Source organism: Homo sapiens, chromosome 2 (assembly GCF_000001405.40).
Source record: "Homo sapiens chromosome 2, GRCh38.p14 Primary Assembly".
Classification (NCBI taxonomy): Eukaryota; Metazoa; Chordata; class Mammalia; order Primates; family Hominidae; genus Homo; species Homo sapiens.
In genome coordinates, this window is record NC_000002.12 from 178,622,328 (window position 1) to 178,638,651 (window position 16,324).

At 35.7% G+C, this 16,324-nt stretch overlaps 1 protein-coding gene across 21 annotated transcripts in view, besides 1 other annotated feature; it reads right to left on the reverse strand.

Annotated features, from left to right (window-relative positions):
* TTN (titin) overlaps positions 1 to 16,324 on the reverse strand; it is a 281,435-nt gene that overhangs the window by 96,339 nt on the left and 168,772 nt on the right. For 19 of the 21 annotated variants that reach the window (NM_003319.4, NM_133437.4, NM_133432.3 and 16 more), the window contains 20 exons: positions 15,042 to 15,092; positions 14,071 to 14,472; positions 13,636 to 13,914; positions 13,113 to 13,388; positions 12,838 to 12,977; positions 12,396 to 12,522; positions 12,039 to 12,302; positions 11,490 to 11,756; positions 11,086 to 11,349; positions 10,860 to 10,999; positions 10,591 to 10,717; positions 10,199 to 10,465; positions 9,820 to 10,086; positions 8,707 to 8,973; positions 8,477 to 8,616; positions 7,914 to 8,040; positions 6,974 to 7,116; positions 2,946 to 3,069; positions 2,138 to 2,404; positions 343 to 440 (listed from right to left, as the gene is read on the reverse strand). In NM_003319.4, coding sequence (NP_003310.4) covers positions 343 to 440; positions 2,138 to 2,404; positions 2,946 to 3,069; positions 6,974 to 7,116; positions 7,914 to 8,040; positions 8,477 to 8,616; positions 8,707 to 8,973; positions 9,820 to 10,086; positions 10,199 to 10,465; positions 10,591 to 10,717; positions 10,860 to 10,999; positions 11,086 to 11,349; positions 11,490 to 11,756; positions 12,039 to 12,302; positions 12,396 to 12,522; positions 12,838 to 12,977; positions 13,113 to 13,388; positions 13,636 to 13,914; positions 14,071 to 14,472; positions 15,042 to 15,092 — 4,037 coding nt within the window. The remainder of the gene's footprint in view (positions 1 to 342; positions 441 to 2,137; positions 2,405 to 2,945; positions 3,070 to 6,973; positions 7,117 to 7,913; positions 8,041 to 8,476; positions 8,617 to 8,706; positions 8,974 to 9,819; positions 10,087 to 10,198; positions 10,466 to 10,590; positions 10,718 to 10,859; positions 11,000 to 11,085; positions 11,350 to 11,489; positions 11,757 to 12,038; positions 12,303 to 12,395; positions 12,523 to 12,837; positions 12,978 to 13,112; positions 13,389 to 13,635; positions 13,915 to 14,070; positions 14,473 to 15,041; positions 15,093 to 16,324) is intronic. The other 2 variants (XM_024453099.1, XM_017004822.1) reach the window with 1 other exon arrangement.
* Positions 5,001 to 5,201: a silencer, noted in NCBI's record as "peak3948 fragment used in MPRA reporter construct". NCBI's record gives its function as "represses an SCP1 promoter by STARR-seq MPRAs in K562 erythroleukemia cells {active_cell/tissue: K562}" and the evidence as "EXISTENCE:reporter gene assay evidence [ECO:0000049][PMID:32103011]".

Sequence of the window (16,324 nt, forward strand, 5' to 3'; positions counted from 1 at the left end):
AACTTGCCAATGGTAGTTAATAGCAACAGGAGGTACTTAGTTGAAAGAAATATAATTGCTGATATTTGACTTTCTGATCTAAGAAAACAGCACTTTCATATGGTTCAAACTAATATCTAAATCTCCTGATTGTGAGTCCAGTGTTTTTCAAGTAATAGTAAATTAATAATACTAAAAAGAGAGCAATTAAAGTCAAGAATACATTTTATACTACAATTATCTTTAAAAGTAAAGTGGTGACCAGAGAAGTTGTGACTAACTTTTTTTTTTCCATTTTGGCTAGACCAAAAGTAAATATAAAGTTATTTGACAGTACAAGATGACAGGTATACAGTCACAGACCTTAGCATTTTCTCGGGAAAGTTCACACTCAAATCGAGCCATTTCTTTTTCTCTAACTTGAAGGTCGGTGAGTGGTCTTAAGAATTCCACATGAGGAGCTGTAAGAGAATGTCATCAGAATTCAAAATGAGGTTTCTGGAAATTTACTCTGACATTACCATAGTATACATTAAGAAAAAGTGACTCTTTTTTAGGGATTTTCCATCTTAATAGACTACAACTGACTTTGAAATCACTTGAAGCTGCCCATCAGGTATGATGCTTTGCTTTTTAGATATCTCTTTAGTTTACATAAAATTATGTGGCATTCTATATGTTCAACTAGTGTGCATGTGTGTGTGTACAGTATATATACTAGGGAGCCATCTCAGTTCTTTTGAATAATAGCTGGAGGAAAAATCTTCATTTGCACTGCACCAGACTTGAAAGATAATGTCAAAGGAAACTTCAGACACCAGTGGCAAAGAAACATTGTCTTATTTAAGGCACTTAGCACAATCTTTGAGAAATTAGCAGAATTCAAAGATAGAACACGTGAAGCACTATGGCCAGCCTTGTGTATGGCTAAGAGGCATGAGGCTGTAATTGAAACATACATTTAGCTTTTTAAAAAAATCAGCTTTGAAGACGTCACATATAAGTCAGGCATAACATCTATTAGTGCAATAAAGCAATGTGTTTTGTATGGGAGGGTGATTAGGATTTTACATCTGTTATTTCATTCATCTGTAGAATTAATTCAGCTGGTGTATAGGATTAGGGAGCTGCCCCCTTGCCCTTCCTTCTTTCAGAGCTCCCTGTGAGTCCTTCCCAAGATGACCATTCTTGAGCAATAAGATTCTGAGACAAATGCTGTCTAATAGGTTTGAAAATATGCTCCTTGCAGCTGAGCCTTCTTGGAGTGAAGGTAGATGTCAAGGTGAAGAAGGAGACCCAAGAAGCTACTTTGACATAAGCTTGAGCAGAGCAACCACAAAGTGGTAAGAAAAACATGGTACAAGATGCATGAAGCACAGAGTCACTAGGTTGTAGCTGTTGACAGATGGGAAGCAACCAAACCAAACAAACAAATATTGCACAAAAAATTTGCAGAAAAATGTCATCACTGGACAAAGGAATGAATGAAACAAATAAGCTAGTATGTGGCATTTTGAAAAAAGACATTACATTTTTCACCAGAGGAAGAAGTAATGTTAAAAACCATTAGAGTTCTCTTCATTCAAAGAGTCCAGGACTCAAAAGATCCAGGGCCTCACTCCATCTTCTTATCCATTCTTATTCTCAGAGATTGAATCATGTGAATGTGCTTTGTCATATTACAGCAGATCTCTAGTATGCTCCTATTCAGACTGAAATTTCATGCTCATTTTCTAGTTGTTCCCCACACCTGAAAATTCATTTTCCTTCCACATGGAAATCACTTTTACTTTGTTTTTAAAATTAGGACTCCCTACTTATCTTTAAAATTCAGTTTCTCCTCATCCATATCAGGATATCCATACAGTAGGCTGACCCCATGTAGACAAAGAGCACATCTACTCACTACTCAGTGAGAGAAAAGAAGCATAGGGAAAAGTGATTGCTCCATCATTAATCAGACCAGACATAGAATAAGACTTTTCTTTTCTTTTTTTCTTTAAACACATAAAGGATCAGGTTAGGTCAGTGTCAATACTAGAAGTTGCCAAGAAATGCAGTTAGGCCAAGAAGGGCATGCAAAAAGTGTTGTGTTGTTTTGTTGTTGTAGTTATTAAAGAATTGCAAATGAAAAGTCCTTTGTAAGAAGAATACTTACGCACGACATTCAGGTTACAGGAAGTCTTAAAATCCTTAGCATCACAAGTGTATGTTTTAATATCCTCTGGGGTACAGTCATGTATAACAAGTTTTCTGACCCTGCCATCAGCAACAATTTCATACTTCTTGCTTTTGAGGATTTCTGTCCCATTTTTGAACCATTTCACCTTAGCATTTTCTCTGGAGACTTCACACTCCAGCACTGCAGTGGCTCCCTCTTCGACCGTCTGGTCCTCAAGAGGCTTAGTGAATTCAACTGGGGGTTCTGAAAGAATCATACTCATTAGCCAAGGTACTCCTTTCCTTCTCCAAGAGTTTTGGTACCTTCTCAACTTTCCCCTGCCATCTCCAGGGCTTTGTTCTGTCCTAAGTTTTATTTTCAAGTTTTGATTACACTCAGACATTTTCCTCTAAAAATGATATTTTATCATTATTTGTACAGACAAGAGGAAAATCATTTTTAAAAACTAGGAAACATTAAGGAAATAACAGCCAACTCTTGGTTAATAAAGTGATGGATACCTAGCTTGATAATAATTCTTCCTCCAGCTGGCTTTTGAAAATCTAGGATGTGCAATAAAAACAATAGAGATGGAAGGAGGAAGTAAAACCTATGCTAGTCAATTTTGGCTCTTTAAAAAGATAGTCTGTGAATTATTTTGTTATGCTAAAAAGTAAAATCAGACTTTTGATTATTTGGTTGATTTTAAACATCTATAGTACTCATCATATAAAGATAATTGAGAGTTGGCATTGTTCATGAGCCTCTGCCTTATACATGTTTTTAAAATAAGCCTTGTAATTACCTTTCACAAAGAGGTTGGCGTGAGTTTTGAAATCTTTTGCTGTTAGTTGGACTTCCCCAGCATCTTCTAACTTTACATCCCTCAGAGTAAGTGTATGAACTTTTCCTTCTGAACGTGGGACCACCTAGTTGTTTTTAAAAAAAGAATACATGAAACAGCAATCTAGTATATGGGTGCATTTAATTCATTTAGATAAAAATAAATGGAAATAGAGCTTTCCAAGTTGTTTTATAATCATCTATTTAGCACGTATGCATTCAAAAATCATTTCAACCAATAGTTTGGGATCTTTTTTTTAAATTTATTTATTATTATTATACTTTAAGTTTTAGGGTACATGTGCACAATGTGCAGGTTAGTTACATATGTATACATGTGCCATGCTGGTGCCCTGCACCCACTAACTCATCATCTAGCATTGGGTATAAGGACTATAAATCATGCTGCTGTAAAGACACATGCACACGTATGTTTATTGTGGCATTATTCACAATAGCAAAGACTTGGAACCAACCCAAATGTCCAACAATGATAGACCGGATTAAGAAAATGTGGCACATATACACCATGGAATACTATGCAGTTTGGGATCTTTCAAGAAAATTTTAGGGTTTCATAGTTACCTTTATATAATTACTAGGTGGCCTTTCACATTGAAATTGCCCAGGCCAGTTTCTGTTTACATTTGTGGTCTTTTTTGCATATGCGTAGATATACAGCACATATAGTATATACGTATATGTGTATATATATGTGTGCCCCCATTCTGCCCCTGGGCTTATATACATATAAAGGAAGAACTTAGAAAAGCGAATTCATGAAAGGATGAAAGAAAATATCAGCTATGGCAAGCTAAAAGTAAACCTTATGTTCTGTATGTAAGGTGTTTGCCATGCAACAACAAGCTATAACTCTTCTTCCCATTTATTTTAGCAATTAAACTTATTTTGCAAACCAATTAAACCTGTGATTAAATAATTTGTACAACCTATTAATTTTGTTCAAAACTGCAAATGAAAGTTGGACTCTTCTTCCTTTTTCATGTGTCTAAGCATCAGGAATGGGAAAATCAGATGTCAATGGTGCGACAGATAGGGGTCATTCTGACAGCAAAGATAAGAGACTTGGGGGTTCTTCCAGTTCTATGATATAAAATTCCTAAGAAGCTGTGCCCTGTCATCCAGACTGATTTTGCACTGCTTAAGAGTTTACTTAGCGTTAAAAATAATGTAAAGTTTTTCACCAGTGGAACTATTTGTTATGCTAGTGTAAAGAAAAGAATCAGAAATAAGGTTTCATCTAAAAGTGTTTTCTTTAATTAAGAACTGGGCATGGTTAGTCACATAATTATCTTAATAATTGAGAGTGGCCAAAAAACATAATAAGGAAAAATAACAGCTAGGAGGGGGTAGTTAAATATGCCCTTGGAACAGAGCTACTTATCCGAGGGCATGGTGCTGAAATGGGAAAAATTTGTTTTTTTAATAACATTTCAGTATAAATTTTGGCATGCAACTTTTGGCTATTTGAAAAGGTGTCTCAGTTTCTAACCCACCCACAGATATATTTTATCTATTAATATTATGTTGCTTTATCATCTGAGTTCCTCTGTAGCTACTCTAGGACACTGCTCAGAATGCAGTATGTCTCAATAAACAGCTTGTATACAATCTACCTCCACTATGTTAAAAGAAAAAAAAGGAAAACTGGTAGGTGCCTTATAAAAATAAACCAATGAAATGAATGTTGAAGATTTTGCAGTAGATTGTAAGAATAATGTTAGAGATTTTAAAAATATTTATTTATAGTGGAAGCATATTAATATAATACGGTAGGCTTATGACCATGACAAAACTATTAAAGTTTTGTATTTAAACTTTAATTTTATCAAATTTAAAATTTAACTTTAAAATTATCAAATGCCATTTGGAACTTGGCAGTCCTTTCTTAAACTGACAGCCAAAAACAACTACAACAACAAAGAAAAAATGCAAACAACTCATGTCTACAAGTTTCTCTTCATATTTCCTATTCCTACAGCTTGTTTTTGCTTGTTTGGTTATTGTAGTTTTGAAGGCGAAAATTTTTACATAAAATGAGTATTAAAGTTCGGAATTACATTGACAAGAGCAAGTTTGTTCTGACAGACTTAATTTAAACAAAATCTGCCACATGTAACAAAATGATTTTATTACTTCAAAGTTTATATTTAAGTTCTTTTTGAAAAGAGACATTTAAGTAATGCAAGAGCAAGTTCACAAAAGGCTAAGGTATTTCGGGTGCCTAGAGTAAAGGATTAAAATTCCTATGCCAAAAGAGATGTAAAGGGGCCCTATAGAATTATAGTAAACTGATCCTTTCTAACCCTAGAAAAAATTTTAGTTACAATGAGAATTTTTTAAAAATAAAATGTGAATAAGATTTTTAGGAGTCTACATTTGAATTAAAATAGTGCAGTTTTTGTATTAGAACTGAGACTGATCTTTTAATAAGAAGCTCTTACTATGACAAAAAGATATTTGGTAATGAAAAAATAATATCATTTGTCTTTAAGCAGTGTTCCTATATATAAATCATGAATTTGCAGATCTAGAAAGAATCTTGAAAAAGCAACCAATTCTCTGCCTTTAGACATGAAGTTAATTAAATCATGCATGATAGGCAAAATATATTTTTTCAAACAATAAGCTTGAAGGTAGAGGTGCCTCCCTCAGTTCAATATTTAGAAGACCTCATTGTAAGGAAGGTTTTGTGATATGTAACTTAATTCCCATGCTACAAATGGAATGTACTGCTGCTTTTTCTGGTCACTGGAAAAGGAGACCAAGAAGATCTTATTATCTGTATAACAGGCAGGCGTTACCTATCAGATGACTGCTGGTGAATTACCCTGTAATCACTTTAGTGGAATACTAGTTTTGTTGTTGTTGTTGTTGTTTGTTTGTTTGTTTCAAAGCAGTTACTTGAAGGCATTGCTTTCAAATACTTCAGTCAATGCTGTGGCTTTTTGTTAAACTGAATCACTTTTTAATTATATTCCTTTAAGTCTTCAAAGTTTGATTTTTGTTGAGATCTTTATAGCACATTTAATAGTATTTCTGAAATATTGGGGGAATATGTCACAGAACAATGTACTGTCCTGTGCTTTATTTCCAACCCAGGCTGGACATATTCCATATATTTTATTTTAAGAATTCAAAATTAATGATGGATTGTCAAGATAATTTAAAGACATATGTTGTTTCTGGGGACAAAACATATAGATCAATTTAGGCAAATTGTATTGTGGGCCTATCTGAATAATCCCTTAGTTTTTACTTATGGGTAAAATCTTGGGCATAAAGAATGTTAGTAAAAGCTAAAAGCAGGAGCTAGTTATTTACCAAAGCTTAAAAAAAATATTTCATCCACATATGTGGATAACCACAGAGCCCTTCTTTCTTGTCAGTACCATCAGTTGCACTTTAAATAGTCCACTTGCATTCCAGATATCGCACAGCCCAGAGCACTTGAAGGTTAAAAATAGCTTTGGAGAAATGCTTGAAGAGCAAATCTGCCCAGAAGTTATCTCAACTACTTGATCAACTGCCCGAAATGGAATTTCAGTCTTCTCCTCTTAATCCCCTTATATGCAGAACACTAAATAGGATGGAGAGCGTTAGTCTTAAAACTTAATGTGCACCATGGCTGCAGAGCGTGCAATCAGAAAGCCTTTTTGATCCTTCCTGCCTTCTGGTTAATCAAACTATCATTCATAGTCAATGAGTCTTGTCTTTTCTTCAAAAAACTAAAACATGATCATACTTTAAATTTATTTCAATTTCAATAAAAAAATCATCAGGTTAAACCTAAGAAAAAATGCAAAAAATTGGCTTTACAGTTTCAGCAGAAATCAGGCTAAAGGCGGAAAGAGAAAGGCAAAGACAGAGGAAGAGACATTAGAAAGAGCAAAGAATAAGGAACATACAAGTGAAGGTGGAAGAACTCCAGAAAAAGAACGGGAAAGACAAGGCATGCCTGCTTTTTACCTTATCGCTGGGCTCTAGTTTCTTCCCTTTGAGATACCATTCCACTGGGATATCTTCGTAGGAGAGCTCGCAGTCGAAGGTGGCTGTTTCCCCTGCAGTCACGGTGACATCCTTTAAAGGCCTCAGAAGACCAATTACTCGTGCTTTTCGAGAGGGAAGAAACAGCTTTGCGTTACTCATTTTGTAATCCCAAAAGAATAAATAGAGACTTAGATATGAATCTTCATGGTTGCTTTCTTCAAGAAGCCACAGGACTGGCCACTATTTTAACTCCCACGTGAACGTGGCCCCACGGCGCTGAGAAGGGGAGAGCTGGTAGCCAGAGAGCGAGTATATGTAGGGGCCCTTTCGTTCTGACGTACAAGGTCAGCGAGAAATCTGTGCTGCATCTGTCTCTCTGCCAGGCGTCAAGTTCTTCTTGCTACATAAGGTATGTGACTTCCAAAATAACTAAGACTCTGATTGGGAGAGGACAAGGGGCCCTCAATCAGAGGCTGTCCCTATCCATCAAACACTTTGCACCTTCCAGAAACGTTAGCCTAATGCTTCCCACCTTCTTTCTTGAATCTAAAATGCCCACACAGCAAAGCTTGTCTTTCTGGTGCTCTAGTTGCACAGCCACTTGAGGGAAGTGGTCTTTAAGGGTTCTGAGTTAGATTCTCATTGTATGTGTATCTACTTTCAATGAGAGGACTACAGAGCAGGAAAATCTGATTTGCTAAATTTTCTTTTGTTCAAATGGCAAGGTCAACAAAATTTCCAAAACTTTACGATTTGAACCACTTCTGTATTGGAATGTCAAAGTGGCAAATACAAGAGAGCCAGTTTTTGTGTTTTAATAATATTTTCTAACTAATAAAATAGGTCCAATTAATTTCACTCACATTCATTTTCTGAAAAAGTGTTTATTTAATTTCCCTGAAAAATATACAATACTTACGCTTAACTCGGAGGTGGGCACTAGATTTAACATTGGCAGCTTGGAAATCCACCCCACCCGTCTGGTCCAGGCGACAGTTGTGCAAAACAAGGGAGTGTATTTTGCCTTCTTCCTTAATTTCACAATCCTGTACCAACAAAACAGAAAAACTTTCATAGAAAATAATTTTCTTTGAAATTTTGTTCTAAGGATAGATTATCTTAATTAAAGGAATGCAACAAATAAATGGTGATGAAACTTTATATAACTTTGAGCTCTTTTTTTAGGAAGTAAAGCTTACAAGTACTAAGAGGAAAGCCACATTTATTTTAGCTGTATAATTCTGAGCCAACTAGCAGCATCACAGAGTATCTACAACCTTATACTCACTCTGCTGGATCAAAAGTAATGCAAGTGTGCCAGTCTGAGCCCATTCATAGACCCTGACATCTCTCTTTGGCTTAGGGTCTGATAGAGAAACTGCTATCATGTTTTAAATGTCCTGCATCCACTCTGACTTTCACCTGTTCTTTTCTAATTCACACAGCTCCTTTAGGTGTTGACAAGTTCAGAAATAGCCTTACAGGTGTTTGGAGTAGGGCCTCTCCCTTGAGTTTCCAGTTGGCGTGGATATCATCTTCAGAGATTTCGGTTTCAAAGCGTGCTGTCTCAGTCTCCATCACCTCCACACTGTGCAGGGGTCGCACCAGTTTAATTTCCCGATCTAGAAAAGTGAAGGGCCAGCATGGGTCATTAGCCTCTGGCACAAATAACCCCAATGCTTCAAGAGTGAAACTCATGGAAATTTCCTTACCCTCAATGTCAAGTTTTCCTGAGGTCTTATCTGTCCCACAGTCACAGGTGTACTGTCCAATATCTGATTTCAAGGCTTTCTTTAGGATTAGCATGCGTTTCTTGCCATCTGCCTTAATAACAGCATTTTTGGATGGCTTTATTTCCTTCCCATCCTTAAACCATTTCACTGGTGCATCTGCTTTGCTAATTTCACACTGTAGAATAACTTCATCTTTCTCTACACCAGTATAATCTTGAAGTTTTCCTGTAAAATATGGGTCTCCCTCTGCAAGTAAAGTATAAGTGAAAAGCTTTTATTAATCACCTTAGGGAAATGACAATCTCTTGGAAAGTTTAAGACACAACTCACAGAGTTCTGAGTATCTTTTAAAATTGTGTCAAGTGTTCAATCATTTAACCTGTTTATGTTCAAAAGTTCTCTAAATATTAGGAAGGGAATCAGTGTGTGGGATTTATCAAGATCTAATCCATTCATATTGAATTTTGAAACATTTTATTAACAGTAGCTAAAAAGACTGAAATTTAGCTTCAAATACAATTTTGTGTTCCTCCATTATTTGGGTAAATTTCTAATTCTTAGCAACTCTATTATGTCTAGTTTACTTTTAAGCTTTCAGGTTCACATTGTTAGTTTTTCTTAATCAATTAATAGTTTGCCTTTAATCATGTCTATATATGTTAGCCTTCATGTTTAATCTTGTTGATATTAGGTGGCCAAGAAAAACAATGAGGCTTATTAATGTAAATTATGTAATATCTTCTCTTATGGGAAACTTGAAAAACATTCCTCTGAAATAATTTTGATAAAATGAAGAGATAGAAAGTATTTATATACTCCTATTTTAAACATGACAGGGCTCAATAATTAATGAAGAATTTTAAGTTGGCTTTTAATTGGCTATTTTGTGGGTGTAAGCTAGAATCTTCATTAACTTATAGTAATGAAGGTAAAGTGTTTTAGAAATAAGCCTGATTACATATGTGATAGCTTCTTAAGGAGTTGGGCTGCTTTCATGCAATATAACACTTAGAAGACTATTTTATAGAATAGATACTCCACAAATTTCTGTTGAATTTAATGCAGTAAAATTAAAATTTAAAAAGCACTTACCAAGCACAGTGAGTTTAGCTTCTGAACTCATCCCCATAGCTTCTACTCTAATTTGGGAGGTGTCATCAATAGACAGGTCTTTGAATGTGATCGAATGAGTTTTCCCTTCGTCTTGCATTGAGACCGACCTGGTGGTGTGTAGGCGCTGGTCATTCTTGAACCATTTAACTCGGATGTTATCATGAGATAACTCCACAGTAAATACAGCACTTTCCTTCTCTTTGGCAGTTACATCTTTGAGAGGGGTGAGGAATTTGAGCCGGATTCCTATCAAGAAAAAAAAGAAAGAACTTATTAATTGAAGCACTTTAAAGAAGAAATATAAAACTAAAGGCAAAAAAAATGATTTTGGGGTGGACTATTTGATAAAACTATTTACCTTCAATGATCAGTTTGCCACTTGTGTGCTTATCTTCAGCTTCAAACATGTATTTTGCTTCATCTTCAAAAGCAGCTGACTTGATCACCATTGAATGCTTAGTGCCATCCTTTATAAGCTCAAATCTGTCATCACCTGTGATTTCCTGGGTTCCTTTTAGCCAACGGAATGTTTTGGGCTCCCTGGATACTTCACACTCAAACTTAGCCTCATCTTTCTCGAAGACTTTAACATCACTGAGAGGTGTGATGAAGATAAGAGGCAATTCTGAAAGAAGTGGACAGTGGATGAAGTCAGAATACGTTTCCATTGATGACCCTTGATCAATGCAGGGGTGTATCAGGAAGTCTTGCAGAGAAAATACAAAAACGTGGCTGACAAGTAGAGCATACCTTTCACTTTCAGATTGGCTGCAGATTTGGCATTAGCAGCCTGGAAGGAAACCTCTCCTGTCATACCCAGCTGACAGTTATGAAGGATCAGAATATGCTTCTTTCCATCCTCAATGATTTCACAGTCCTGTTTGGAGTGAGGGTTAGAAGGAAAGAAAGAACATCATTTATATAGTTATTCCTACAAATCATCAAGATATTTTATGCCTTTTTTCACCCTACACAACCAAGCAACCCCTCTCCTATATAATTAGCTAATCTTGACTTACAGGGGAAGCTGTCAAAGGCTGTCCTTTCAGCTTCCACTGGCCGTGAACATCAGGTTCAGAAAGTTCAATTTCAAAGTGGGCTGTTTCACCAACAAACACCTCTACTCCGTACAGAGGCTTTTCCACTTTTATTAGTCGAGCTGAAATGATACAGTTTTGTTAGCATGACTGAACTAATAAACTGCAGATTCAGATAGGGTAAATTTTACATTGTTGAGCAACTCACCCTCAACAGTAACATTTGCCTTGGTCTTGTCTGTGCCACAGTCACACACATATTCGCCTTTATCTTTAAGGTCCGCCTTTTTGATTTTTAAGATGCGGCGCAGGCCATCTGCCTTGATAGAATATTTGGGTGAAGGGACAATCTCTTCACCATCTTTGAACCATTTCACTGGTACATCTTTGCTCACTTCACACTTCAAAGTAATCTCATCCTTCTCCACTGCAGTTTTGTCATGTAATTTCACAGTGAAGTAGGGATCGGCCTCTGTAAAAGACATTTAGCATAAAATTAGAAGAATGTGAAAATTAAAGTTTATTAAAGAGTAAAAGGTTGCAAAATATTTTATTACTCCCCACTCCCATGATTCAGAAACTGGCTATCTGGTTATACTTGGTTACATTTACCTAAGACCTTCAGCTGTGCTGTGGAGCTCAGCTCCTTGACTTGAGCTTTTATCTGAGATATATCATCCAATGTCACTTCTTTCATTTCCAATTTGTGAGTCTTGCCCTCAGAAGAGATGAGTACTGTTCTGCTTGTATGGAGTTTGGCATCATTTTTGAACCAGACTACATGCATTTTTTCATGAGAAAGTTCACAAACAAAAGTTGCTGTTTCACCTTCTTTTACTGTTTGATCTTCAAGAGGTGACATGAATTTCAGTCTTATACCTGAAATGCAAGCATAGATAATGCCTCAGAAACACAATTCACCTTCAGAAAGATTCCATTCTAATCTGCCTGAGTAAAAGGGACCCATTTCACATGGCACTTATTTATTCATCTTTCCAAATAGAGCTCCACTAAAAACAAATTAAGGGGGGTTGTTTTGGTAACACTGTGAAAGTTAATTAGTGATGCATTATCACAGCTTTTAGAACTTGGCGTCCTATCTTTAAAGTCATATATTTGCATGCCTTTATGGGATGTCACAGATCTCATTAGCTCGCTTACCTGTGACAAACAACCGAGCTGAGGTCTTCTTGCCCTCCACCTCAGCAGTATAGACCCCTTCATCATCAAATTGAGAATCATTAATAACAAGAATATGTTTCTTTCCATCAGCGATGATATCAAATTTGTCAGATGACTTAATTATATCAGGTCCTTTGGACCATATAACATTTGCCTCTCGGGTGAGGACACATTCGAATCGAGCCTGTCGCCTTTCTGGAACAGTGACATCCTTCAGGGGCACAGCAAAGTCAAGTTCGATTTCTGAAAATCAGACATTAAGAATGAGGCTTTTCAGAATGCACAGGGAAGTGAAATAAAGTTGAGACCCCTCCCCAAATTCTAAAAGCCCCATACCTTTTACTGTCAAAATGGCAGTTGTAATTGCATTAAGGGCCTGGTAGAGGACTTCACCAGCTTGGTCCAGTTTGACTTTGTGCAAAGTTAAGAAGCGTTTTCCACCTTCTGCTTTGATTTCACAAGTCTGAAAAACAATAGTTTTAGTAACCATTTGAAAGAGATAAATTCCCTATAGGAGAAGTGTTTCAGATACAAATTTCTATAGAGTTTTAAAAATTACTACTAATAAAAGTAAGCAGAGAATTCCCTGTCATAACATTTTACACAAATTGTTCAAGTTGTCCCCAAATGATACGTAAAATTTCTTTCCTTCTTGGAGACTTTAGAAGACTCCATTAACTCCATTATTATTAAAGCAACCCGAATCTAGGATATAGATCCTGAATATTGGATGTGGTTATTTTATATGACTAACAATTTAAAATGTGAAATTACTCACAGGTGAGGGCCTTAGAAGTTCTCCTTTCAGTTTCCATTGTCCAGGAATGTCTGCCTCTGAGATTTCTGCATCAAAGCTTGCACTTTCTTTCTCATAAATGGTAACGTCCTCTATTGGTTTAAGCAGTTCAACTTCACGCTCTGTATTGGTCAGGGATGAAGTAACATAATGCTTTAGACAACCCAACGATGCTTTGCTTTTATGTGTTTTGGTGTGTTATTTGGCTTTACACATACGCAAAACTTATAATTTGAATAAAAGGTAAGATTTTATACCTCCAAGTGTCAGCTTTGCAGGGTATCTTTTTCCTTCAATTTCCACTGCATACTCAGCAATATCTTCTGGCATAGCATTCTTAATTTTGAGGTACAGATGATTTCCATCTCTCAGTATTTCAGTCTTATCATTTGGTTCCGCAGGGATTTCATCATATCCTTTGAACCACTTAATGTTTGGAGTATCTTTTGCTATATCACAGGCAAAAATAGCTGTCCCCTTGGGTTTCACATGCTGGTCTCGTATAGGTTTCACCAGCCAATCTCTAATGACTTCTATATGAAAATAAGATCAGAAAAAATGATTAAGGTCTGAACAAGTAATATACATAGCTTCCTTAGTAAATTTCAGGAATAGGAAAAATTTCACAATACTGGGCATAATTAATCCACTGTAGGATATATTGTTATTCCCCTCTTAGGTACAAGATTTCTGATATTGTAATACTGGGAAACGAGGTCCTTTCTTCCATTTTCTTAGTGTAACAATAAGCAGAACGAAATCTCCCAGGAAAGTACTAACCTACTACTTTTACGCAAGATGAACACTCCAGGTTGTTGGCGTTTTCCACAGTAACTGTGTATGTTCCAGCATCTGTGTCATCTGCATCGTTGATGGTCAGAGCCCGCATCAAGCCAATGACGCCTGGCACAATTCGGCCAGGTTTCTCCACCACAATCTTGCCATCCTTCCTCCAGACCACGTCACGCTCTTTGTTTAACTCGCAGCTCAAGTACAATGGCTGTCCTTTGACCACTGTGACTTCCTCTTCCAGTGTTTTTACAAAACGCACAGGAAGTTCTATGGAGAATTTCAGTATATATTTCAATAAATACAATATTTTCAATGAAATAAAACTTGGAAATAAGAGGTTTTGTAAAACTACAATGCAAGTTGCTACTAAGGTTTGTTACATTAAAGTTTAATATAGATTATGTTCAGAAGACTAGAAATTACCTTCTACAACAAGTTTAGCCGTGGAGGTCTTTTCTTTGTTTCCCAAACGTAAAACACAGGTGTATTCACCAGCATCGGAAAGTTGAACATCAATGATGTGCAGCTTTCTGTCTTTACCATCTGCAATAAACCTGTGCTTGGGACTCTCACGGATATTGCTACCGTCTTTCATCCAGGTTGTAATTGCAGTGGAAGGGGAGACCAAACATTCAAAGATTGCTGAAGAGCCAACGAACTCTGATTCTGTCAAGATGATGTCTTTGATTTCTTTCACAAACTTCAGTGGCACAGCCTTTAGCTGGTAGGTGAACGGGGCTTCATCAGGAGGTTTCTCTCCACCACTTCCTGGCCTTAACTTTCTCCTTTCGGCTTCTATTGGTGAAGGAGTCTTTTTGGGTACACCTAATTCAAAGTAAAATAAAAAGTTGATTTGGCATCTCCTTAGGAGTCAGAAAGTTCATACTTGGCTGCCTGCTGGATAAAACCAGCCGTAAAGCAATTAGAAGACGAGAAAACTAAAGACCAGGCAATTGAAAGGCCAATTGAGTTTATACTGCCTTGTTTCAGGCAGGAAAATGAGATGGTATAAGGAATCCATGAATAATAAATGTCCCTTTTCTCAAGTTTTAATCTGAAGTATAAAATAGCCAGATTAATGTCTAATTATTTTATCTGCCATGTATAAATACCATGCATATGAAAAATGAAGCTAAGAACTTATGGGATTCACTATGCTAAAATATAGTTGGATATATATATATATATATATATATATATATATATATATATATATCTCCTTGCATAATACTAAAAGTATTATTTGAAATATCAGAAAACATGCTAGTTTTAGTAGAATCAATTAGAAAAAATAAAAATTGTTATGAATTTTGAAATTTTTTTCCCCTTGAATATGAACTTTGGAAATTCAGAGTGGAAGGTTACAATGCAAGTACTAGAAAAATGAATTTCACCTTTGATAGGACCTTTTGGCTTGGCAGCCTCTTCCTTAGGTGCTTTGGCTTCTGAAATAAAAATAAAACTCAGCATTTAAACACTTTTCGGACTTATTTCATGTTTAATAGTAAACCATGGAGGGTGAGTCATGCTCCATTATAAATATTAACGCATAAAGAGAAATTGGTTTCATTTATATGACTTCTATGGATAATCACATTTCCAGGAAGGCATATTCTGAGACTGAAGAGCTCAAGCTAAACTGCCAACATATTTAGGATTAACAACTTCTTTCAGCAAGTGCCTTATTATCTTCCCATTTTTGGAAGGCTTACTGTTGCCTTGTGAGGAAAAGTTTTGCTCCTGCCTAGCTGTGCAAAATATTTTATATGTTTATGTAAGTCCTGATTATGTGAACCAAGGAAATAAGGTTTTGTCAATAAATCAGTGTAGGGAAAAGGGAAATGGCTGAGAGGTTACCAAAAGCCTTTCTTTTTATGTCTAAATTGGGCAGACAAACAAATCCAGGGAAGACTAAGGAAAAAGAGTCCATGTACCACACATGCATGAGTTTCTTTGAAGATTTCCTTTAGACAATGAAGTAAGGCAGAAGCAAGAGAGTTCTGACATTTAGAGTTTGATTCCATTATTAATACAGGGACAGTATAAACTGTGGAATGAGTTCTCTAGCTTCAGCCCCCAGGATAACTGAGAATAGCTTTATTTTTATACATACTTAATTAGACAAGAGCAGTTCATCACCTTTTTCTGAATAATAAAAGTACTACGTTGACATTATAAAAGTTTAAAAGAATATGCCCAAATCATAAACATCAGCAACAAAATATAACACAAATATTAAAAATTAAACTACAGTCAAAAGAATATAGTGTATTTTTTTATGTCATTAAACATGGTAATGTCCAAATATTTTGAGATAATTTTAAATAAAAAAATTTCTAAATAATTTATATAAAAATATATAAACAAATATAAAATGACTAATTATTGAATTAATAATCTAAAATAATATAATTTTTCCAAATAGTTTTATTTATTGATTTATTAAAGATATAAGCCAATTTTTATTATTAGGTTCAGAAAATTAAATTAAAAAATTTCTCTGTCAAACTATTATGGACATTTCTAAATGTTATTCCCGGGGCCTATGCACATCTCACTGTGGAATGTAACAAATAGTTCTCTTTTTTTTTTTTTAAATTCACCCTGAATTTTTTATTTTGTGCTTTATCAGTGGAGATGATCATTTTTCCATAGGAACAAATTGTCAAGGCATTAT